Here is a 27039-nt window from a genome sequence, read left to right on the forward strand (position 1 = left end):
AAATTTTTCTCTAAAATAAACCAGATTGGAAAAGAATAGAAAATATCAGAGCACATCATACTGAAGAAGAAAAGTATCATTTCGAGAAAATTGCTTTACATATAAACATCCTAATATATGTATATTTGTGTGTGTGATGAGTCTCAATATAAATGTATTTCTTATATAGTCACAGTAAAAAATGTTTCAAAACCACTACCTAAGAAACTTTTGTACATAGGCCTCTGGAGAAATGTACAAATATATTCACAGCAAGATTATTCATATCGGAAACCAATAAGTTGTTCTCTCTTCCTGGGATGGAGCATGGACAACACTGCAGAGCAGTAAGAATGAACCATAGATCTACGCCCAGCAACATGGATGAGCCATAAAACTAATGTTGAATTTTTAAAAAGCAAGACAGTATATATGAACCTCAAAAACAAAGTTAAATAACATTTTTTAGTGATATACAACATATAAATATGTGTTAAAAATATTTAAGTATCAGGAAAATGATAAGTTAATTTCAGGTTGGAAGAGAGCTATTGCTGGGGAAAAGGCAGGATAACAGGATTGGGGAAAACACACAAGTATGAGATGAAATCATATGAAATTGCCTCTATTCAAAAATTGTTTAATCTTCAAAAATGTCATTTCACATGGTTCAACCTAATAGCTCCAAGTGTACTGGTAACATCCTGTCACTTAAGATGAGTTGTGAGTTTACAAATATTAGGTTTACAATTATGATGCCTAATTTGAATTTGTTTATGTATTACATTACATGTATAAAGTATTACAACATTAAAAAAAAAAAACTTTTCTTAAAAGAGTGCAACAAGGTCCCTGGGGTCCATGTGAGAGAGGGTTGGACAAGGTTGGAAACCAGAAAAAGGAGAGACGTTAAAGGGTGGAGGATTTATTATAGTTAGTTGAAGGCAAACTCAGTAAGGCTCTCTGATGTGCTGGTTACTGGGAATGAGGGAAAGGACAGCAAATCTATGTCAATTTCCTCTGAGCTAAATGAAACAATATAAGATGATGCTTTCATTTGGGGATGAGGAGTTAGGGTTTGATATGGGTTTGTTTTATGGTATAAAATATACCACCATGAAAGTGATAGATGTTTAGGACAGAAATTTTAGGAAATGTAAAAAAAAATAAAAAATAAAATAGGTTACCATCCCCAACCCACTCAGGCTAATGGCAGCAGCTAAGGTACTGAACACTGGTTAAAAAAAGAAAAAGTGCATGAGAAAAAAAAAGTCTATGAATTGTTAGGTAGTTCACGGAAAGCCCTCTTGTAGTCCAAGGACCATATTATAGCAGGAAATGCAGCTAGAATCGCTTGGAAGGAAAAGCTGCAATCACAAATAAAATCATCAGTTGTATAATATTTTTCAGTCATTACAGGAAGCAAGTATCAAAGCTGCTTTCACCAAAAAATGTGGGGATATGGCTTTCATTGTGCCCCAGTGTGAAATTATTCCAGTTAAAGGGGTTTGCAGAATAGCAACTTGTTGTTTTCTTAAAAGAAATCCTGGTGTCATCGACAGATGTGAGTTTTACTCACCTAACGTGGAGATGTTTTCAAGGGTGCTGCCAGTAATGAGAAACAGTGAATTGCTGTGAAATTTTGCTGTGCTGGACTTGGTAAAGGCCAAAGTGAAGTAGCTAGCGTGAGTCATGCTGCACAGGTTATTTTTAAAATACTGGAGAAATCCTGGTTGCCACAGAACTGTGTACAAGTTGACACGAAGATTGAATTTGGTGTTGATGTAACCACCAGAGAAGTTGTTGTTGCTGCTGATGTTACTGATAATGATACCCAGAGACTCTGGCCATCGAGAGATCAAAGCAAACAGAAAGACAAACAGTCTTGTTGTGACCTCAAAGAAGCAACTCTGGAAGGGCTCCAGATGGTAAAGAAAAACTTTGAGTGGGTTGCAGAGATTGTAGAATTGCTTTGGAAATCAGAAAGTCAGTGCAGGGGTGTAATATGCATAGGCTCAATGTCTGATCTAGAACACTGTGAAAAAATCAAGAGGGCCTGTGGAAATTTTGGGTTTGGGTAACATCTGCCCATAAAGGACTAGATGAAACTCTGAGGATTAAAGCTGAGTCTGAAGGGGATGGCATTCCTTCTGTATCTGTGGCAGTGGTAGGCAGAGGCCATGGCTAGGGACCAGTGATGCCTGGGAACACTGCATAACCACGTAGTTATCAGCTGTCCTCCCCTCACACCAGACAGTGACCTCAGGATGTGTGAGCTTCCCTTTGACAGGGGTCTCAGGTAGTGGACCATACTTTCTGCAGAAGACTCAGCTCAGTATGATGCCCAGATATTTGGATTAAGCGATCATTTGGCAGGAGGCAAACTGTGAACAAGCATATTGAACACATGGATTTCATTGAAAAGAAAATCAGAGATATAATTTATAAGAAAAAATGCCATTCACAAGGCAGGGATGCCCTCTCTCACCACTCCTATTCAACATAGTGTTGGAAGTTCTGGCCAGGGCAATCACGCAAGAGAAGAAATAAAGGGTATTCAATTAGGAAAACAGGAAGTCAAATAGTCCCTGTTTGCAGATGGCATGATTGTGTATTTAGAAAACCCCATTGTCTCAGCCCAAAATCTCATTAAGCTAATAAGCAACTTCAGCAAAGTCTCAGGATACAAAATCAATGTGCAAAAATCACAAGCATTCCTACACACCAATAACAGAAAAACACAGAGCCAAATCATGAGTAAACTCCCATTCACAATTGCTTCAAAGAGAATATAATACCTAGGAATCCAACTTACAAGGGATGCGAAGGACCTCTTCAAGGAGAACTACAAACCACTGCTCAATGAAATAAAAGAGGACACAAACAAATGGAAGAACATTCCATGCTCATGGATAGGAAGAATCAATATCGTGAAAAGGGCCATACTGCCCAAGGTAATTTATAGATTCAATGCCATCGCCATCAAGCTACCAATGACTTTCTTCACAGAATTGGAAAACACTACTTTAAAGTTCATATGGAACCAAAAAAGAGCCCGCATTGTCCAGACAATCCTAAGCCAAAAGAACAAAACTGGAGGCATCACATTACCTGACTTCAAACTATACTACGAGCCTACAGTAACCAAAACAGCATGGTACTGGTACCAAAACAGAGATATAGACCAATGGAACAGAATAGAGCCCCCGGAAATAATACCACACATCTACAACCATCTGATCTTTGACAAACCTGACAAAAACAAGAAATGGGGAAAGGATTCCCTATTTAATAAATGGTGCTGGGAAAACTGGCTAGCCATATGTAGAAAGCTGAAACTGGATCCCTTCCTTACACCTTATACCAAAATTAATTCAAGATGGATTAAAGACTTAAATGTTAGACCTAAAACCATAAAAACCCTAGAAGAAAACCTAGGCAATACCATTCAGGCCATAGGAATGGGCAAGGACTTCATGACTAAAACACCAAAAGCAACAGCAAAAAAAGCCAAAATTGACAAATGGGATCTAATTAAGCTAAAGAGCTTCTGCACAGAAAAAGAAATTACCATCAGAGTGAACAGGCAACCTACAGAATGGGAGAAAATTTTTACAATCTACCCATCTGATAAAGGGCTAATATCCAGAATCTACAAAGAACTTAAAAAAAATTTACAAGAAAAAATCAAACAACCCCATCAGAAAGTGGGCGAAGGATATGAACAGACACTTCTCAAAAGAAGACATTTATGCAGCCAACAGACACATGAAAAAATGCTCATCATCACTGGCCATCAGAGAAATGCAAATCAAAACCACAATGAGATACCATCTCACACCAGTTAGAATGGTGATCATTAAAAAGTCAGGAAACAACAGGTGCTGGAGGGGATGTGGATAAATACGAACACTTTCACACTGTTGGTGGGACTGTAAACTAGTTCAACCATTGTGGAAGACAGTGTGGCGATTCCTCAAGGATCTAGAACTGGAAATACCATTTGACCCAGCCATCCCATTACTGGGCATATACCCAGAGGATTATAAATCATGCTGCTATAAAGACATATGTCCATGTTTGTTTATTGCAGCACTATTCACAATAGCAAAGATGTGGAACCAACCCAAATGTCCATCAATGATAGACTAGATTAAGCAAATGTGGCACATATACACCATGGAATACTATGCAGCCATAAAAAAGGATGAGTTCATGTCCTTTGTAGGAACATGGATGAAACTGGAAACCATCATTCTCAGCAAACTATCGCAAGGACAGAAAACACCACATGTTCTCACTCATAGGTGGGAATTGAAAAATGAGAATACTTGGACGCAGGGTGGGGAACATCACACACTGGGGCCTGTCATGGGGTGGGGGGAGTGGGGAGGGATAGCATGAGGAGATATACCTAATGCAAATGACGAGTTAACGGGTGCAGCACACTAACATGGCACATGTATAATATGTAACAAACCTGCATGTTGTGCACATGTACCACAGAACTTCAAGTATAATTAAAGAAAAAAAAAAAACCTCAAGCTTCTACCAGGCTCTCAAAAAAAAAGAAAAAAAGAAAAAGGAAAAAAGAATGCCATTGCATTTTTTAAGGAAAACACTTCAAATTTCTAATTTAGCTGCAGGAACAAAAGCAAGATAAAAAGATGATTTTATTTATTTATTTATTGAAATGGAGTCTCACTTTGTCACCCAGGCTGGAGTACAGGGGCGCAATCTTGGCTCACTGCAACCTCCACCCACTGGGTTCAAGCGATTCTCCTGGCTCAGCCTCCAGAGTAGCTGGGACTACAGGTGTGCACCACCATGTCTGGTTAATTTTTGTATTTTTAGTAGAGACGGGCTTTCACCATGTTGGCCAGGCTGGTCTCAAACTACTGACCTCAAGTGATCTGCTCTCCTCAGCCTTCCAAAGTGCTAGGATTACAGGTGTAAGCCACCACACCCAGCCAAAAAGATGATTTTAAATCAGAGAAGACAAATTAAAGGTACTGGTAAAAAAAAAAAAAAAAAAACAGAAACCAAAAATAAAATAAATTGAAAATCACTTATAATTTTACCATTCAGAAACTGTCTTTTAAATGACATTCCAATAGCAATGAGCACATCTAGCAACCCATCTTGGTTTCTAAATACCTTTCTCCACTAAAAAGAACCAGAGGCCAGGCGCAATGGCTCACGCCTGTAATCCCAGCACTTTGTGAGGCCAAGGCGGGCAGATCACCTGCAGTCAGGAGTTCGAGACCAGCCTGGCCAACATGGTGAAACCCCGTCTCTACAAAAATACAAAAATTAGCCCGGCATGATGGCACGTGCCCATAATCCCAGCTACTCAGGAGGCTGAGACAGGAGAATCACTTGAACCCGGGAGGCAGAGGTTGCAGTGAGTTGAGACTGCACCACTGCACTCCAGCCTGGATGACAGAGTGAGACTCCATCTCAAAAAAAAGAAAAAGAACTAGGGCTTTTGGGAGAAATAGTTGATTCTATGGCTAGGGCAGAAAAAAGAAGATGAAGCTGGAACATTTAGTTACAGAGTGTAAGAAAATGCTCAAGAGTGATGGAGACTTGACAAAGGGCATGAAAAAGAGATTTGAAAAGGCTTTTGCCAGCTAAATCTGGAATAACTTGAATATCAAAGTAAATAATGACGGTAAAGGATTATAAACCTTTTAATAAAACAGGGAACCATCAGTTCATACAGATATAAACACAAAAACAAATACAAGTAGAGAGAAAAGGAAGTTTTCCTTATAATATAACGCTAATAATAAATGTATAAGTGAAAATGCCAAACAACATGGTAACAATAAATTCAGCCAAGAAACATCAATAGGCGCTAAATCTGGTAGGTTAATGAGTACAAGTTTGAGGAGAAACTGGATAATCATACAATTTCCACATAACTTTCCACAAAATACCACTTAGAAAGAGAACAAGAATAGCATGACCGTGAAGAAGCTGGATGACCTTAACCCAGTGACCCAACTTAACATCACCTGTAATGGGACAAGCTGACATCACAGGCCACCTCACAGAAGGCAATGAGACCTCAGCATTATTTCTGTAATTGCCTGCCAAAAATGCATCACCTCTGCCCATTATGAGGAATTATCAGAAAGAAACAAACAAATGAGCATGCTTCAAAATGTGTGACAAAAAGTCAGGGTCTTAACTCTTCTAGAATGAAGGAGATTAAAGAAACATAACAACTAAATGCAAAGTGGGGTCCTAGGTTGGATTTTTTGGCTATAAAGGACATTACTGGTGAAACTCAAAGGGGGTCTGAGGATCGGATGGTAGTATTACGTCAGTGTTAATGGTTATTCTGAGATAACACAGAAGAAGGTCCTTCAGTATTTATACAACTATAAATACTGAAGTATTTGGGGGTGATGGGAATCCCAGCAACAACTTGCCCTCAAATAATTCCGTTAAAAAAAAAAAGCTCTTTGTACAGTACTTGCAACTTTTCTGGATGCTTGGATTTCATAATAAAATTACTTTGAAAAAAATATCTACTTGAGATAGTGCCATAAAGAAGCAAGAACAGAGAAATCTCTACTATTCTGTTATACAGCTTGGTGCCCTACCATTAATGATCCTTAACTTTAGATCTTCAAGCATATTTAAGTCTCTAGGCCTTGGATGACCATGCAGGGGGTTGTGCAGCAATAAGGTCAACCTTAGTAGCTAAGAGAGAGAGAGAAAGGCAGATCATACTAATCAAGTTAAGCAGTTTACACAAAACTACAATGTGAGTTGTCACTATTTCCATTTTTCAGGTGCAAAAATTGAAGCTCAGAAAGGGGAAGGAAGTTGGCCAAGATCACACAGTAAACATTCCAGCTGGAATTAAAGACCCCAAGGTCTGTGCGCTCGACAGCCCTTTAGCAGGGTTTATCTTTCTCGTGGTAAATTAAAAGCCAAAGGGCTACTTACGGGTAGTTGTCTGGTGAGGAAAGCCAAGGGAGTATATGCCCAGGATAAATACCATCACCAATTGCCCTGTTCTGCAGCGGTAATCGAAGATCCACACCCCTTGCTGCCATCCAGTGCTTCCTGAAGACCCCAGGGAAGTCCTCAGTTGACAGAATCTTCCTTATCCTGCTCTCCACCCTTCACTTCTGATGTTGGCTCTTCCAAGGCCTTCCTTTGGCACAGCCAAAGCAATACTCAGTGACAGATCAACACAAAATGATGTCCTCAGAATGCTCTGGGCCTCTCTGGGAATGTCATCTTAATTAGAAAACCTTTCATGACTTTTAATTTGTATTGGTCATTTAAGAAGGCATTGAATTAGCTGAGGATTCAGCAACATTGAATACTGACTCTTAAGAACCTCATTTAATTTACTTTGTTATTTACCAAGTACAGGTATTGGAATGTGAATGATGAGAGTTTATCTTTGCAAATGCATACAAGAGTTTTTAAACTTACAGTTTAAAAGAGTGTCTGAGGATGTACCGCCCAGACCAAAAAATATATATATCAAATGCTGTAAGATCTAATATTTGTTTCCTCCAAAGAAAAAGCAATCACTGCTTTTGAAATGGACATTAGCTCTTTTTTTAAGTACTTAGTTCAGTGCTTGTCACAAAGCAGATATGCAATAACAATTTATTGTATGGATAAATGAGTGCTGATACCAAGAGCCGAGAAAATTGCCATCATCTCTCAAATGGTCATGTACCAGCTTCGTCAAAATGAAAGTTCTTTATAATTAAATTTAAAACACACTATTTTATTTAGGAAAGTTCCTAAATTATGAGTGCCAATTTGCTAATCTTATTCAACAGTGATATTTAAATATTTTATTGATATTAAAAGCACTTTTCACTAAGAAAGGTATTTTGAAGTTGAAAGTGTAAAACTTTCTTCAACAACAAAGGAAAAGAATGCATAGAAAATGTTAGATCAAATTATAGCTTTCAATGTTATATTTCTATTTCAAAATTTTTAATTGTCTTTTTTAGAAATTTTTCTGGGTTCATAGTAGGTGAACATATTTATGGGGTACATGAGATGTCTTGATACAGGCATGCAATGTGAAATAAGCACATCATGAAGAATGAGGTATCCATCCCAAGGGTAGATTTATCCATTGAGTTTCAAACAATCCAATTACAGTCTTTAAGTTATTTTAAAATGTACAGTTATTACTGACTATCGTCACCCTGTTGTGCTATCAAATAGTAGATCTTATTCATTATTTCTATTTTTTAATACTCATCCCCACCTCCCTCTCAGCCTCTCACTACATTTCCCAGCCTCTGGTAACCATTCTTCTACTCTCTATGCCCATGAGTTCAATCATTTTGATTTTTAGCTCCCACAAATAAATGAGGACATGCGATGTTTGTCTTTCTGTGCCTGTCTTATTTCACTTAACATAATGATCTCCAGTTCCATCCATGTTGTTACAAATGACTGGATCTCATTCTTTTTTATGGCTGAGTAGTACTCCATTGTGTATATGTACCACATTTTCTTTATGCATTCATCTGTTAATGGGCACTTAGCCTGCTTCCAAATCATAGCTATTATAAACATAGGAGTTTATAAACAAACATAGGAGTGCAGATATCTCTTCAATATACTGATTTCCTTTCTTGGGGGTATATACCTAGTGGGTGAGATTGCTGAATCATATTGTAGCTCAATGTTTCGTTTTCTGAGGAACCTCCAAACTGTTCTCCGTGGTGGTTGTACTAATTGACATTCCTCCAACAGTGTACAAGTGTTCCCTTTACTCCATATTCCCACCAGCATTTGTTATTGCCTATCTTTTGGATAAAAGCCATTTAAACTGGGGTGAGATGATATTTCATTGTAGTTTTGATTTGCATTTCTTTGTTTATTTGTTTTTGTTTGTTTGTTTGAGACAAGGTCTCACTCAGTTGCCCAGGCTGGAGTGCAGTGGCGCCATCTTGGCTAACTGCAACCTCCGCCTCCTAGGTTCAAGAGATTCTCCTGCCTCAGCCTCTCAAGTAGCTGGGATTACAGGCACATGCCACCACGCCTGGCTAATTTTTGTATTTTAAGTAGAGATGAGGTTTTGCCATGTTGCCCAGGCTGGTCTTGAACTCCTGACCTCAAGCGATCCACCCGCTTCAGCCTCCCAAAGTGCTGGGATTACAGGTGTGAGCCTCCGCGCCCAGCCTGATTTGCATTTCTCTAATGATCAGCAATGTCGAGCACCTTTTTTATATGCCTGTTTGCCATTTGTATGTCTTTTGAGAGATGTCTATTCAGATCTTTTGCCCATCTTTTGATTGGATTATTAGATTTTTTTTCCTATAGGGTTATTTGAGCTCCTTGTATATTCTGGTTATTCATCCCTTGTCAGATGGGTTAAATTGTCTTTTGAACTTTTAAAGTTTAAATTAAAATTATTTTTGCCCTGTACACTTTGGCATTAGAGGCCATGGGCTCCAGGGCTTTGCTGGTGAGCAGGGGACGCAGCAGGCACATGCTCTGCATCTGCGCCGACTGTTCGGCATTTGACTCCCAACCCCTAAGTCCACTTTCCCCGCTTTTCTGCCCTGCCCAGGCCTGGGAGGTTCACCTCTGTTTTGCACCATCCATGCTCCATTGCCTTCTAGCTTCCAGGTGAATCCTGTGCACTAGCAGCAAAGTAGCTACAGGAGGGAGAAGTTGGATTATTTATTTTTCCTTCTCATTCCTCACCTCTCCAACTGTGTCAGGAATCCCCAAAACCCCCAGGCTTGATGATTTGCTAGGACGACTCACAGGACTCAGTGTATAGTCTTGTTTGTGATTATAATTTATTCCAATGAAAAGATACAAACCAAAATCAGAAAAGGAAAACGTTTGGAGGAAACCAGGCACAATCCATGTCCTGTCCTGGTAGAGTCACACAAGATGTGTTTAATTCCCTCAACAAGGAACTGTGGCAACACTTGTAAAATGTTGCAACCCCGGGAAACACAGTAGAAACTCAGTGCCCAGGATTTTTACTGGGGGCTGGTCATGTGACACCCTATTTTTCTATATCAAAATTTCAAACTCCCAGGCTGGGCATGGCAGCTCATGCCTGTAATCCCAGCACTTTGGGAGGCAGAGGCGGGCAAGTTGCTTGAAGTCAGGAGTTTGAGACCAGCCTGGCCAACTGGTGAATCCCTGTCTCCACTAAAAATACAAAATCTAGCCAGGTGTGGTGGCACGTGCCTGTAATCCCAGCTACTCGGGAGGCTGAGGCACAAGAATTGCTTGAACCCAGGAGGTGGAGGTTGCAGTGAGCTTAGATCATGTCACTACACTCTAACCTGGGCAACAGAGAGAGACAATGTCTCAAAAAAAAAATCCAAACTCCGAGAAGGAAAGCAAGTGTTAGTTAAACCATATTATTTGTACCATTCAGTCACAGTGTAGCCACTCTTATCAGTAAAGGTAGTAGGAACCCTCCAGAAATCTTAAGTTCACAGACTCCAGCAAAGGGCCACCCTTGTAAGCTGGCCTTTCAAAGGACAGCGGCCAGGTCTTCTATGCTAACACTTTTCTGCACCAAGGTTCTGGCAGCGGCTATTTTCCCGGCAGTCCCAGCTCTTCTTAAGTGTCCTCTTCTGCAGTTACGTGCTGCCAGATTCCAGGAACTTCTCCCTCCTCCTTATTCCTTCAGGTTCAGATTGGGGTGAATCTCTGAGAGCATTTCTTGTTGATTGCCTTAACTCAAGCCACCCAACTCTGCACAGAGTCTCATCATTACTATCTGAAATGTTTCCAGTGAAGAAGGAGGAAAAGGAACCAGATTTACCCTCCAGACTGAAATCACCCTAGAAAACAGACAAAATACAGGCATACCTCATTTTATTGTGCTTCACAGATACTGCATGTTGTAAACTGAAGGTCTGTGGCAACCCCATGTCCAGTAAGTATATCAGTGCTATTTTTCCAACTCCACCTGTTTACTTCGTATCTCTGTGTCACAGTTTGATAATTCTTGCAATACTTCAAACCTTTTCATTATTTTTATATCTGTTATAAAGATCAGTGATCTTTGATATTCTTATTGTAATTGTGGACTAATATGAGTGTAAGTGGATTTTACTAAGAAGAGAGAATAGGGATCACAAATATATCTTTGAAAAAAATTAAAATTTTCCAAATTTGGTATGAACTGTAAACCCACAGATTTAAAAAGTCATGAAAGCCCAAGCAAAAGAAACATAAAGAAAAACCATACAGAAGTATGTCATAATTAAAATGCTCAAGACCGGTGACAGACAGAAAATCTCAGAAGCCAGTGGAGAACAAAAGACACACAATAAACAAACAAAGATAAGCCAGTGTCTCATGAGAAGCTACGCAAGCATGAGGACAGCTTTAAAGTAGTGAAAGAATAAATCCTTTAGTTTATCTAGAACTCTATACTCACTAAAAATATCTTTCAAATATGAAGATGCTTTCAGACACAGAAAATCCGAAAGAATTTATCACAAGCAGGCCTGCATAACAGGAAATATTTAACATTCAAAATTCAATGTAAAATTCACCATATTAACACACTAAAAGAAGAAATAAAAACATATGATGATCTCAATAGATACAGAAAAGGCATTTGAAAATATCCGACAACTATTCCTGATAAAAACTCACAGAAAACTAAGAATAGAGGTAAATTTCGTCAACCTGTTACAGGGAATCTCTGAAAAGCCTGCAGCTTACACATACTTAATGATGAATGATTGATTCTTTTTCCCCAAACATAAGAAACAAGATTAAATGTTTGCTCCACCAATCCCATTCAACTTTTACTGGAGATTTGAGCTCTCAGATTTGAGCCAGTGTTATAAGGAACAAAAGAAATTTTAAAAAAGAGGCTGGGCGCAGTGCCTTACGCCTGTAATCCCAGCACTTTGGGAGGCTGAGGTGGGTGGATCATGAGGTCAGGAATTCAAGACCAGCCTGGCCAACATAGGGAAACCCTGTCTCTGCTAAAAATACAAAAATTAGCCAGGCATGGTGGCACACACCTGTAGTCCCAGCTACTCAGGAGACTGAGGCAGGAGAATTGCTTGAACCCTGGAGGCGGAGGTTGCAGTGAGTCAAGATCATGTCACTGCACTCCAGCTTGGGCAACAGAGTGAGACTTCATCTCAAAAAAAAGAGAAAGAAAGAAAGAAAGAAAGAGAGAAAGAAAGAGAGAAAGAAAGAGAGAGAGAAAGAGAGAGAGAAAGAGAGAGAGAAAGAGAGAGAGAAAGAGAGAGAGAAAGAAAGAGAGAAAGAAAGAGAGAAAGAAAGAGAGAGAGAAAGGAAAGAAAGAAAAAGAGGAAGGAAGGAAGGAAGGAAGAAAGAAAGAAAGGGAAAGAAAGGGAAAGAAAGTTATTACCAGCGAACAACTGGATATTTGAATTTTTAACAACTTTATTAAGCCGCATTTCAAAAACCATACAATTCACCTATTTAAAGTGTACAATTCAACAATATTTAGTATATTCACAGATACACACAACCATCACCATAGAACATTTTTATCATCTGAAAACAAAACCCTGTCTCCCTTAGCAATCAACCCACCCTCCCATCCGCCACCCCAAACCCCTAAGTAACCATTAATCTACTGTCTGTCTCAGTCAATTTTCTTGTTCTGGACATTTTATATGAATGGAATCATATAATATGTGATCTTTTGTGACTGACTTCTTTCACTTAGTATAATGTTTTCAAGGTTCATCTATGTTGTAACATACATCATTCCTTTTTCTGGCTGAATAACATTTCATTGTATGGATTTAATACATTTTGTTTACCCAATCATCAGTTTATGTACATTTGCATTGTTTCCATCTTTGGCTTATTGTGAACAATGCTGCTATAAACATTAGTGTATGAATTTTTATATGGATATATGCCATTTTTTCTCCTGGGTTTATACCTAGGAATAGAATTGCTGGTTACCATATGACACAACTATTTACCATATGAAAACTATGCTTAATAGAGTTATTATGTAAAGAATTGCCAGACTGTTTTCCAAAACAGCATCATCTTACATTCCTATCAGCAGTTTATGAAGGCTCAGTTTCTCCACATCCCTGCTATCTGATTTTTTTATTCTAGCCATCTTAGTGGGTATGAAGTCATATCACATTGTGGTTTTGGTTTGGTTTGGTTTGGTTTCCCTGATTACTAATTATGGTGAGCATCTTTTAATGTTCTTATTATCTATTTGCATACCTTCCTTGAAAAAATGCCTACTCAGATCCTTTGCCCATTTAAAATTGGTTTATCTCTTTATGATTGAGTAGTAAGAGCTCATTATGTATTCTAGATATAAGTAATTAGATATATAATTTGCAAACATTTTCTATTATTATGTATATATCATATTATCTATCTTTTTACTTTTGTGCTGATGTACTTTGAAGCACAAAATTTTTTAATATTTTTTCTTTTGTTGCTTATGTTTGGTATTGCACCTAAGAATCCTTTGTTAAATCAAAAGTCATGAAGATCAATCCTTGTGTTTCCTTCTAAGAGTTTTATAGTTTTAGCTTTTACATTTCAGTTTTTTATTCATTTTGAGTTAGTGTTTTGTAACTTATGCCAGTACCACAGTCTTGATTATTATTGCTTTGTAGTAAGTTTTAAAGTTGAGAAGTACAAGTTCTCCTGCTTTGTTCTTTTTCATGATTGTTTTGTTTTGCTTTGTTTTGCTTTGCTTTCAGATTTTTTGCATATCCACATGCATTTTAGAATCAACTTGTCAACCTCTACAAATAAATCTGCTTAGGATTCTGATAAGGATTGTGTTAAATTTATAGATCAGTATGAAGAGTATTGCCATATTAACAATGTTAAGTATTCCAATCCATGAACATAGGATGTTTTTCTAATTATTTAGATCATCTTAATTTTTTTCAACAATATTTTATAGTTTGTAGAGTATAAGTTTTATGCTTCATTATTGATTTAATGCTTGTGTCCCTACTACCCTCAAATTCATATGTTTGAAGTCCGAATCACTAACATGATGGTATTTGAAGGTAGTGCCTTTGAAAGTTAATTATGGCCAGGTGCGGTGGCTCACGCCTATAATCCCAGCACTTTGGGAGGCCAAGGCGGGAGGATCACGAGGTCAGGAGTTCAAGATCAGCCTGGCCAACATGGTGAAACCCATCTCTACTGAAAATACAAAAATTAGCTGGGCATGGTGGCACCACCTGTAATCCCAGCTACTCAGAAGGCTGAGGCAGGAGAATTGCTTGAACCTGGGAGGCAGAAGTTGCAGTGAGCTGAGATCACACACTGCACTCTAGCCTGGGTGACAGAGCAAGACTCTGTCTCAAAAAAAAAAAAAAAGTTAATTACATTTACATGAGGTCATGAGGGTGAGGCCCCCACGATGGATATGCTCTTACAAAAAGAGAAACAGACACTGGAACTTTCTCTCTCTCTCTCCATGCACACACTCCAAGGAAAGACCATGTGAAGATACAGCAAGAAGACAGCCTTCTGCAAACTAGGAAGAAGGCCCTCACCAGAACCTGAACATGCTGACATCCTGATCTTGGACTTCACAGCCTCCATAACTGTGAGAAATATATGTCTATTGTCCAAACCACCCAGTCAATGATGCTAATCTTAAATACTTAAGATTAAATATAACAAAAAAGTGCTAAGACACACTTTTGTTAAATTTAATCTTATGTATTTTATGCTTATCTTAATTTCATTTTCATATTGTTCATTGCCACAATATAGAAATACAATTGATTTTTGTACATAGATCTTGTACCCCACAACCTTGCTTACCTCATTTATTAGTTGTAATAACTTTTTAGTGGGTTTCTTAGAACTTTCTAGATACAAGATCATGTCATCTACAAATACAGATAGTTTTACATCTTCCTTCCCAGTTGGGATGCCTTTTACTTCTTTCCCTTGCCTAATTGCCCTGACTAGACTCTCCAGAACAGCGTTGAATAGAAGTTGCTGGAACAGACTTATCTTCATGATCTTAGGAGAAAAGCATTAAGTTTTTCACTATTAAGTATGATATTGTCAGTGGATTTTTTGTTGATGCATTTTATCAAGTTAAGGAAGTTCATTTGTATTCATAATTTGTTGAGAGTTTTTTTTTTCTCATGGATGGGTGTTGGATTTTATCAAATGCTTTCCCTGTGTCTATTGAGATGGGCATATGAGTTTTGTTTTTTATTCCATTGATAAAATGTATTATGTTAATTGATTTTCAGATGTTAAGCCAACCTTGCTTTATAAATCACACTTAGTGTGATGTATAATTATTTTTATGTGTTGCTGGATTTGGTTTACTACAATTTTGTTGAGGATTTTTGCATTTGTATTAATAAAAGATACTGGTTTATAGTTTTCCTGAGATGTTTGGGCTCACAAAATGAGTTTGGAACTTTTCCCAACTCTTCTATTTTTTGGAAGAGTTTGTGGGAAAATCGTATTAATTCTTCACTGAATGTTTGGTAGAGTTAGCAGTGAAGCCATCTGGGCCTGGATTTTCCTTTGTGAATAGATTTTTTTATGATTATTAATTCAATCTCCTCCCTTGCTATAGTTCTATTCAGATTGCCATTTCTTTTTTAGTCAGTTTTAGTAGCTTGTGTTTTTCTAACCATTTGTTCACTTTATCTAAGTTATCTAATTTGTTGGTATACAATTGTTCATAGCTTTCCTTTATAATCCTTTTTGTTTATGTTAGACTAGTAATAATGTCTCCTTTTTTGTTTCAGTAAGTTTTTGCTCCTTTTTTTTCTTGGCCAATCTAGCTAAAGATTTATCAAACCTGTTGATTTTTCCAAAGAACAAACTCTATTGCTTTTTTATTTATGCTTTCACTAATTTCCTCTGTAATATTTTTTATTTCCTCTCTTTTTTTGCTTTGGATTTATTTTGCTTTTTTTCCCAGTGTCTTAGGTGGAAGTTTAGGTAATTCATTTGAGCTCTTTCTTCTTTCTTAATATAGGCATTTATAGCTATAAATTTCTCTCTAAACACTACTTTAGGTGCATCTCATACATTTTTGTATGTTATGTCTTTATATTCATTCATCTCTTAGTATTTTCCAATTTCCCTTTTGATTTATTGTTTGACCCATTGGCTATTTAGAAGTGTGTTGTTTATGTTATATTTATTTTTGAGTTTCCAAATTTTTTTCTGTTATTTATTTCAAATTGCATTTTACTGCAGTCAGAAACCATACTTTGTATTCTTTATATATTTTCAAATTTATTGAGGTTTGTTTTACAGGTTAGTATATTGTCTATTATGGAGAATATTCAATGTGCCCCTGAGAGGAATATATATTCTGTGTTGTTGGGTGGAGTTCTATAGGTGTCTGTTAGTTCTAGTTGGTTTATAGTGTCATTCAAGTCTTCTATTTCCTTGTTGATCTGTCTAGTTATTCTTTTCAGTATTGAAAGTAGGGTACTGAAGTCTTCAGCTGCTTTTCTTGATTTGTCTTTTTTTTTTTCATTTCTGTCAGTTTTGCTTCATGTATTTTAGTGCTCTGTTACTAGTGCTTATGTTGGCATAATTGTTATAACTTATTGATGTGTTGACCCATTTATCTTTATAAAATATCCCTTTTTATCTCTAGTAACTTCTTTTGTTACAAAGTCTACTTTGATATAACTATAAGATTCTCTAGCTTTCTTGGGGTTTCTGTTTGCATAATGTATCTTTTTTATCTTTGACTTTCAACATATTTGTATATTTGAATCTAAAATGTGTCTCCTTTAGAAATCGTGCCATTGCACTCCAGCCTGGGCAACAGAGCAAGACTCCATCTCAAATAAATAAATAAATAAATAAATAAAATGTGTCTCCTTTAGGTAGCATATACTTGGATAATTTTCAGTCCCAATCTGACAATCTCCACCTTTGATGTGGATTGTTTGTGTGTTTAGTCATGTTTAAACTTATTATTGATATAGTTGAATTTATGTCTGCCATTTTATTTTTTATTTTTTATATGTCATGTTATTTTTATTCAATTTCTTGTTTATTGCTTTATTTGAATTTGGCAAATATTTTTAATGCTGCATATTAATTTATTTAATGCATTTTTCACTATATTTTGAGGGACTTTTTAGTGGTTACTCTAGGGATTGCTATATACATCTCAAAATATACAAATCAGCTTCAGATTGATACCAGCTTATTTCCAGTGATACAGAGAAATGTTAGTCTATACAGCTTTATTCCTTTTCCTTATTTTTGTGGTATTATTATGGCTATGCATATTATTTATCTTAATGTTATAAGCCCAACAATAAGTTATTATAATTAGTGCTTTAACATCTGTGTTGCGGGAAGTCAGGGACCCCAAACGGAGGAACCGGCTGAAGCCATGACAGAAGAACGTGGATTGTGAAGATTTTATGGACATTTATTAGTTCCCCAAATTAATACTTTTGTAATTTCTTATGCCTGTCTTTACTGCAATCTCTAAACATAAATTGTAAAGATTTCATGGACACTTATCACTTCCCCAGTCAATACCCTTGTGATTTCCTATGCCTGTCTTTACTTTAATCTCTTAATCCTGTCAGCCTAGAAGGATGTATATCGTCTCAGGACCCTGTAATAATTGCGTTAACTACACAAATTGTACAGCATGTGTGTTTGAGCAATATGAAATGTGGGCACCCTGAAAAAAGAACAGGATAACAGCAATTGTTCAGGGAATAAGAGAGATAACCTTAAACTCTGACCGCCGGTGAGCCGGGCAGAACAGAGCCATATTTCTCTTCTCTCAAAAGCAAATGGGAGAAATATCGCTGAATTCCTTTTCTCAGCATGGAACGTCCCTGAGAAAGAGAATGCGCACCTAGGGGTAGGTCTCTGAACTGCCCCCCCCACCCCGGGCATACCTGTCTCTTATGGTCGAGATTGCAGAGGTGAAATAAACTCCAGTCTCCCACAGCGCTCCCAGGCTTATTAGGAAGAGGAAATTCCCGCCTAATAAACTTTGGTCAGACCGGTTGATCTCAAAATCCTGTCTCCTGATAAGATATTATCAATGACAATGGTGCCAAAACTTCATTAGCAATTTTAATTTCACTTCGGTCCTGTGGTCCTGTGATCTCGCCCTGCCTCCACTTACCTTGTGATATTCCATTACCCTGTTAAGTACTTGATGTCTGTCACCCACACGTATTCGCACACTCCCTCCCCTTTTGAAACTCCCTAATAAAAACTTGCTGGTTTTTGTGGCTTGTAGGGCATCACGGATCCTACCAATGTGTGATGTCTCCCCCGGACGCCCAGCTTTAAAATTTCTCTCTTTTGTACTCTGTCCTTTTATTTCTCAAGCCAGTCGACGCTTAGGAAAATAGAAAAGAACCTACGTGAGTATCGGGGCAGGTCCCCCGATACATCTGTAGTTATGTTTTTAGTTCAATCAACTTTGCTCCCAAACACCTCCTTTGTGCTGCTATTGGCAAGCATATGATGCATATGCTGTATTTCTATATGGTCCAGGCCCAACAATACATCATATAAATATTATTTACACCATTGTTATTTAAATCAGTTAAGAGATGAAAGGACAAAAATTTGCATCTATGCTATTTTTTTTTTTAAATCAATGTTGACCAGGTTGGCCTCGAACATGCAACCTCGCCTCCCCGAGTGCCAGAGCAACCGGCCTGAGCCACAGCGGCTCCCTATGCTATTTTTTATAATTACGTAATTACCTTTACTAGTGTTCTTTGTTTGCTCACGTGGGCTTGAATGACAGTCCTGAGGCACTTGATTTCAATCTGAAAAATTTTGCTTTAGAATTTCTTGTAAAGTGTAATCTGCTAGCAATAAATTCTTTTTGTTTATCTTGAAGAGTCTTCAATTTTCCCTGATTTCTGAAAGATGCATTTCTGAATATAAGATTCTTGTTTGACAATTTTTTTTCCTTTAAGAACTTTGAATATGTTATCCCACTGTCTTCTGACCTCTGTTGCTTCTGCTGAGAAGTAAGCTGTTAGTCTTACTGGGGTTTCCTTCTAAGTGACCCGTTATTTCTCTCTCACTGCTTTCCAGATTTTCTTCTTGCCTTTGACTTTCAGCACTTTTACTATGATGTGTCTGTGGAACTGTTTGTAGATTTAACCTGTTGGAGTTCATTGAGTTTCCTGGATGTGTGGGTTATTGTTTTTCAGTAAATATGGAAAGTCTTCAGGGATTATTTCCTTAAATATATGTTCTGTTCTTTCTCTCTCTTTTCACTTTCAGGTAGTCCTATTATGCCTATCTTGCTGCATTTACTGGTGTCCCACAATTTTCTTAGGCTCTGTTCATTTTTCTTTATTCTTTGTTCTTTTGGCTGGCATAATTTTTATCAATCCGTCTTTAAGCTTGCTTATTCTTTCCTATGCTAGCTCAAATCTACTACTGAACCTGTCCAGTGAGTTTTTTATTTTGGTTATTGTACTTTTCAATTCCAAAATTTTTATTTTTTTATAATACCTATATCTTTACTGATATTTTCTATTTAATGCAAAATTGTCATCATACCTTCCTTTACTCCTTTAATTATGGTTTCATTTAGTTTTGTAAATATGTTTATAATGTCTACCTTGAAGTCTTTGTCTGATAAATATAATATCTGATTACTGTCATGGGTAATTTCTGCTGCCTGCTTTTGTTTCAATATATGACTCACACAGTCTTGGATTTGAACACCTTGTAATTTTTTATTGGATATGGGATATTTTGTATAATATATTGTAGCAACTTTGAATACTAGTGCCCTCCCCCAACCCCCAGGCTTATTCTAATTTCCTGGTTTATTTGTTTAGTGATTGACTGTATTATTTTAATGAAGTCTATGCCACCACACACACCCACTTCTGATGTTGCTCCTCTGGGAGGTTCAGCTTTAGCTTTACAAACCTGGAATGACAGTGGTTTTGGTAGGGCTGTCTTCCTCTGACCACACCCAGTTGTTAAACCCCACTAATTTCCAGCTGATTAATCCATTATTAACAATTCCCTTAGGCATAAATTGTTCTACAAACTAACCCAATCAAATTCTGGCTCCTTTGAAGAAACAGTTTCTGAAGTCACTGTTTGATATGTGTTCTGACACTATGAGGGCCCTTCCCAGATGTCTTCTTCCCCAGTTCTCTCCTGCAAACTAGAAGGCCTACAGTTTAGCCTAGATCTTGACCTGCCTCCCAATCATCTTTCACCACAATTTTCACTGTTCTTGAGAGAATCCTTGAGCTTGAACTCTTTTATCCTCTTTTGCAAATGAAGTAAGTTCCTTTAGGAAGAGATTAGGAGCTGTCTGTTTTATGGCCTGCTTCTGCCTTCCAGCCAGAGCTTTGACTCTGGGGGCTAGGACAATGGCAAGCTTCTCTCCCAGGGACACTTTCATTTCAGGTTCTGAATGCCCAGTGGAGGCAGGGCAGAAGCCTGGGGTCCTCTTGGTCCTTACATCTCCTGATGTGGAACAACTTCCAGTCAGCTGGAGCAAGGGTGATTATGGCACCACCCTTCTCAGCATGCCATGCCAAGGTAGAGTCTCCATTCCAAAAGTAGGGGCTGGGTGAAAGAATGGAGCCCCCATTACCTCATGGCACTTGCTCAGAACTTGGAAAGGGGTAACAGGAGAAGATTGCAAGGGGACAAAAGAAAACCTTTGGGTGATTATGTCAATTGTGGTGATGGTTTAATAGAGGTATACTAAAACTTAACAAAAATCCTATACATCAATAAAACTGCCAAAATTGCAGAACATAACTTAGGGGGAGATATTTCTAATATAATAAAGAGTTAGTATAAGAAAAGTTCATACCAAAGGAAGGGAGAAACAAGATACTAAAATAGGAATAAATTCAGTCATGAACTCAGGTATCTTCCATCTGTATCTCTAGATAGAAATCTTGGTTGCAGAGGAGGTAGAATAATGGCAGAATGCCTGGCAGAGAGCTTAGCATTCACCATGTACTTGTTAATGTTTATTGAGTAAATGTTTGTTGAGTTTGTTGCCCTTGGGAAGTTACTTTCACACCCATCACTCCCCTAGGGTCAGTTTCCCTCTAACACCACCATGATAAACAGCCTTTGATCACAACAGGAAGTCATATTGCATTAGACTCAAGAGTCATTCAGCACATCTTCCTTACATTGCCTTCGTCATAATAACGAAGAATGCCGACCCATTACATAGACACAATATAGCAATAATATTTAGCGCCTTATCTTTTTTTAAATCTGACCATCTCAAAATGGAGATGATAGGTTCCATATACCTTCCATGTATTTCCAGTTTTAAGAAGCTTTAAGAAGTCGAGAATAATTTTTAAAGAAATTACATTAGTTAATAATTTTCCATGACTTGGCTCCTACTGGAGCCTTTCAATTCTACATGCGTCTTTTTTCTCAGCCAGGCTGGTCTCTGTGTTGCTCTAACCATGCCTCATTATAGTAATAGCCGTCATTTCACATAATCTAATGAACACCATGCACATCATACACACTTCACATATGTCAGCAAAAATCCTCACATCCACCCTCAAAGGCATTAATTATTCCCCATTTTACAAATGTGAAAATTGGTGATCAGAGAAATTAACTAACTTGCCCAAACTCTCTCAGCAAGTAAAAAGTTTCTGTCTGACCCTCCAAACGTATACCATTGGGCTCTCTCTCTGTCTGATGTTCAGATTTTTGTCTCTGCCTTTTTCCTCCTGCCATTTCCTTAGTTTGGATCTTCCTTTCTCTCTTTCTTTCAAGGTCCTGCCTTCAGCACAAACCCTTCTCCAACAGTCCAGGCCCCAGGCTCCTCCAAGTACAGCTTGCCAATTCCTTGTCTGGCAAGGGAAAAGGAGGGAGAGAGAGAGAGAAATGGGGGTCAGAAGTGAAGCCATTAGATGCCAGGCATAGTGGCTCACACCTATAATCCCAGCACTTTGGGAGGCTGAGGTGGGCAGAAAATCACCTGAGATAAGGAGTTCGAGACCAACCTGGGCAACATGGCAAAACCCCGTCTCTACTAAAAATACAAAAATTAGCCAGTCATGGTGGTACATGCCGGTAATCCCAGCTACTAGGGTGGCTGAGGCAGGAAAATTGCTTGAACCCAGGAAGTGGAGGTTGCAATGATCTGAGATCATGCCACTGCACCCCAGCCTGAGTGACAGAGTGAGACTCCAAAAAAAAAAAAAAAAAAAGAAGAAGTAAGGCCATTAAGAAAGCCAGGAGGTGAGGAGTAGGGGATGAAGAGCCAATCTCAAGAAAAGGAGATGAAACTTTGTCTCCTCTGCCTTTCAAAATGCTGTAGCCTGATCTTGCTTTTGAGAGCAGGTAAGGAAGATGGGCAAGCAGAGGAAGGAAACGTGTTGGGTGGAAGATTCTTCTTCACCCAGAAATGGCTTCAGCACTCACCAGGACCAGAACCCAGGCTTTGTAGGGCAGGAATGAAGGGCGCTAGCCAATTTCCTTAGCCTCTGCTTCACACAGCTGTGGGATTACTGATTTCTTTGTCCATTTTGTTAATTAAACTAAAAATAATTTGCCATCATCCATCATGCTTTCAAGAGATAGTCTTTAGCTATGAGCATCTGATTTGGAGTAGCAGAGGAAATGCACACTCTGTTAATCAAATTTCAAAAACCAGAATCCAGTGGGACCTTTGGGCCAGCAAAGTGGGGCTAAAGCATATATGCCCTGTTGCTGCACTTAGGTAGTGAACCACTTGAGGAAAAGAACTGCTTTGAAAATCTTTATTTCCTGAATCTGCAGAGGAGGCCAGGAGAACTTTCTAGGGATGAGGGTGATGTTCTATATCTTGATAGAGGTGGTGTTTACACAGATATATAGCTGTCAAGTCATCAAATTGTACACTTAAGATCTGTACTTTTTACTGCAGGTAAATTCTACCTTATTATGGCTAATGGAAAGAAAGAAGGAAAGTAGAAGGGAAGGAAGAGGGAGGGAGGGAAGGAAGGAAGGAAGGAAGAAAGGAAGGAAGGAAGAGGAGGGAGGGAAAAGAAAGGAACAGAAAGGAAGAGGAGGGGAAGGGAAGGGAGAGGGGAAGGGAGGGGAGGGGAAGAAAGGGGAGGGGAGAGAAAAAGAATCCTCCCACTTCTGTAAACGTAGGTTTGCTGTATTAGAAATCCTGGTTCCCATTGGGCAGTGCTTCTGTCCAGGAGCCAAGTAAGGATTCTGCTGCACCTGCAGCTGCAAATGCCACATGGGCACTTTGGGCTGCTCTTACCTGTGAGCCCACACGTGGTGAAAAGACTAACTGCATGATGGACTAATTGACCCTGACTGTCATGAGAAGATGGTGCTGCCACAAGTGTGAATGGGAGGAGAAGATCTGGAATGCAGGGAGTCAGTGGACCTCTCTTGAGGCTTCTGTGTGGCAAACAAGAAATTGCAGCCATTCTGAGCTTCAATGAGAGTAGGTAGAAAGGGGTTGCTGTGCTGGATAGTGAAAAGCCAAGATGACCATCTGAAGGTCAGTCAAAGGCTTCTTGTCAAGAAGCTTCCAGGTTTCCTGATGAGATGTAGCTTGAGAGTCACTTCCTTTCCAATGGACAAAGTGATGGAACAAGTGACCTATTGTAGAATTAGTCTGAGGGTTTCACCTACATTTGCCATTATCCTGGCACACCCTCTCCATCTCAGGGCTGCGCCACCTTTTTGTGTCTGTCTGATACAGGCTAATTGCTCTCTGTGTACATAGGCAGAACAGGTTACTGTAACAAGTAGAGACTGCTATGGAGATTTCATTAAGGTTGACACATTCATTTCAACTGGCCAGGAGCGTCAGACCATATCCCAGAACACTCAGGCATTCTCAAGTACTAACAAATAATCCCTGTAAATCACTCACTTCCACAAAAGTTTAAAATAAAAATAGAGGTAGAGGAATCTTTCTCCAACTTTTTCCTGATGCTCTTTTCTATTCTAGTGTGATCCTGCTCTATGTTTTCCAATCTCATCATTCTTGTTCATTGCTGGTCCACTCAGTCCTTTTAAGTCAACAGTTATAAGTGTGCTTACATTCTATTAGAATGAGATCTGATGACAGGGCTTATCTAAGGCTGAAGTCCCTCAAGGACTTCCCTTCCCCAATCTCTCTCACACATCAATAAGAGCCGCAGGAGTGGCTTTATTATGTGAATTTATTGTGCCTTCTCTTGAAGAATATCATCCAATGCTGTTTTAAAATTGTATCTTTCAAATGCCATTTGAAATGGTTATAAGGCATAGAACAATATAAGCTATGGCATTTGCTAATAAGCATTAGCATGGAGCCATATGCTCCCAAAATATATTACACTTTCCACAAAGAAGTCAGAGACAGAGTTTATCAAGGATAGATACCATACTTCTTTATTCCCTAATAGCTATAGCTATATCCTTAGGGTTCTATGCTATTTTTATTTTGAAACTCTTAAATATGCAGTCTATTTCATCCCATAAACATATTAAAGACTAAATTTACCACAGGTTGTCAGACTAGAAAAAGATGAATGAGACTCTCTAAAGGCAGGCAAGCTCACTAAAAAAATATTACCCAAATGAAAACTCTGGGCAACAGAATAGTAAAGCAACACTCTTTAATGTTACTTGATCATTTGGTCACTAATTCCAGAGGATATTTGGTAAAATGTTCAACAGATAATCTGTTAAATGAGATGAAAGCCTGGGTTTGAGAAATAAAAGTGCTCTCTAAAGTTGTTTGAGTGGAAACTGTAGGGAAATAATGAGAGAGAGAGAGAGAAGAAGAAGAAGAAAAGAAGAAGAAGAAGGAGAAGGAGAAGGAGAAGAAGAAGAAGAAGAAGAAGAAGAAGAAGAAGAAGAAGAAGAAGAAGAAGAAGAAGAAGAAGAAGAAGGAGAAAAAGAAGAAAAAGAGGAGAAGAAGAAGAAGTAGCAGAGGAGGGGAGGAGGAGAAGGAAGAGGCAGAGGAGGAAGAGGCGGAGGAGGAGGAAGAGGAGGGGGAGGAAGAAGAGGAGGGGGAGGAAGAGGAGGAGGAGGAGGAGAAAGAGATTACATGCCTGTAATCCTAGCACTTTGGGAGGCCGAGGCGGGTGGACTGCCTGAGCTCAGGAGTTTGAGACCAGCCTAGGCAACACGGTGAAACCCCGTCTCTACTAAAATACAAAAAAATTAGCCGGGCATGGCGGTGTGCACCTGTAATCCCAGTTACTTGGGAGGCTGAGGCAGGAGAATTGCTTGAACCCAGGAAGCGGAGGTTGCAGTAAGCCAAGATTGCGCCATTGCACTTCAGCCTGGGCAACAGAGCAAGACTCCGTCTCAAAAAAAAAAAAAAATTGAATATTTTACCTCGTCTTAAGAGTTTCATGTCAATCTGGCCTTTATCCCTTTAAAAAGGGTCTTTCTTTTTTTTTTTTTAACTTCTCTCTGGGAGTTTCCAGAAACCTCTTTTTTCCTTTGGTGCTCATAAATTTAATGAGCATGTATATCAGTTGGGGCCATTTCTCATTCACTGCACTCAGGAATCAGCATGCCCTTTCAATAGGGGATTCATATCATTCAGCCCTGGGAATTTCCTTTAATTTTTTAAGAAATATAATTTTGGGCCAGGAGTAGCGGCTTATGCCTGTAATCCCAACACTTTGGGAGGTCGAGATAGGTGGATCACTTGAGGGCAGGAGTTCGAGACCAGCCTGGCCAACATGGCAAAACCTGTCTCTACTAAAAATACAAAAATTAGCTGGGCATGGTGGCAGGTGCCTGTGATCCCAGCTACTCAGGAGGCTGAGACAGGAGAATCCCTTGAACCCAGGAGGCGGAGGTTGCAGTGAGCCAATATCACGCCATTGCACTCCAGCCTGGGTGACAGGAGCAAAACTCCATCTCAACAAAAAATAAATAAATAAATATAATTTTGTTCTCTTAATTTTCTCTGTTCACTCTTTCTGAAAAGCCTGATGAATTGGTTTTCTATACTTCCTTTGCTTCTCTAATATTTTCCTTCTTTTTGCTCTGACTCTAAGGAGCTCATTGGATTTTCCAGGCCTTCTATTGAAATTTTTTTTAAATCCTAATTTTTCTTTATTAAAGATCTCAGTTTTTTTGTCACATTTTTGTAACATCTTGCTCTTGTTATCTAGATATGTTTCCAAAATCTCTTTTAATTCATCAATTAAGGGGATTTTTAATGTCTTCGGATTCTCTTCTTCTTTTGCTGTCAGTTTTTCTGTTGCTTGTCTTGGTTTTATGCCTTTTATATCAAGGCACATAAAAGGCATAAAACCAAGACAAGCAACAAAAAAAGGATTGATCACAGAAGTTTCTCCTTATGTGCCAATTGGTCTTCAGTTGCTCAGTTCTAGTTAAATCAAAAGACCAGGGTGGCTGGTGTGGTTTCCTCTGCTGTTGAGAACATTAGTCTGTTTTCCATCAGTCTCACCACTGAATGGGAATTCTTGCTGGATGCTCTGGGCAGGGCAGGGCATGACAGGGCAAATAGACTGGTGGGCTTTCTTTGGGTAAGCAGAAAAGGAACTGGCATTGACACTGGGCTCTCCAAGAGTCAAAATGAGAAAGACATGGTACACAGACTCCCAGACTAGAATACATATTATTTTCCAATTATGTTTTAGCATAATTTCTTTAAAACAGAGCCCTCTGTTCTTTGGTGGGAGTAGCATCCTATCCAATTTTATTATTGCCATTGAAAAGAAATATAATTTTAAATAAGTAGTTATCATTGCTATTCTAATTTGTAGGTAACACAGTATAATAGAATTAGCTATCTAATTTACAAGTTACTGAATAATATGATTTTTAAAAGGAAACATATCAAAAGATGTGAAAGAAAAGAAAGAAAATTTTAAAATAAAGCAACATAAACAGAAAACATAAAATAAGACTGAATAAATAGATAACACATATGAGTTATCATAATAATTATAAATGGGTTAAATTCATCTAACATGATTCAAAACAATTTTAGAATTATCCATCTTGGGTTCAAAACCAAAGTTTGTCGACAAGTATTTTACTTAAATTTACTATACTATCTGTTAGGCTACTGTCTCCCAGCTTCAAGCCCAT

The 27039-nt window shown here is 38.4% G+C and overlaps 2 non-coding genes and 1 pseudogene across 2 annotated transcripts; 2 read left to right on the forward strand and 1 right to left on the reverse strand.

Annotated features, from left to right (window-relative positions):
• Positions 1170 to 2441, forward strand: PAICSP2 (phosphoribosylaminoimidazole carboxylase, phosphoribosylaminoimidazole succinocarboxamide synthetase pseudogene 2; annotated as a pseudogene).
• MIR3910-1 (microRNA 3910-1) lies at positions 26162 to 26272 on the forward strand. The gene has a single exon (NR_037472.1). It is a non-coding gene; the product is annotated as a microRNA 3910-1 (primary transcript).
• MIR3910-2 (microRNA 3910-2) lies at positions 26175 to 26256 on the reverse strand. The gene has a single exon (NR_037489.1). It is a non-coding gene; the product is annotated as a microRNA 3910-2 (primary transcript).
• Positions 26273 to 27039: the final 767 nt, after the last annotated feature.

The sequence above is a fragment of the Homo sapiens genome, chromosome 9 (assembly GCF_000001405.40).
Source record: "Homo sapiens chromosome 9, GRCh38.p14 Primary Assembly".
Taxonomy (NCBI): Eukaryota; Metazoa; Chordata; class Mammalia; order Primates; family Hominidae; genus Homo; species Homo sapiens.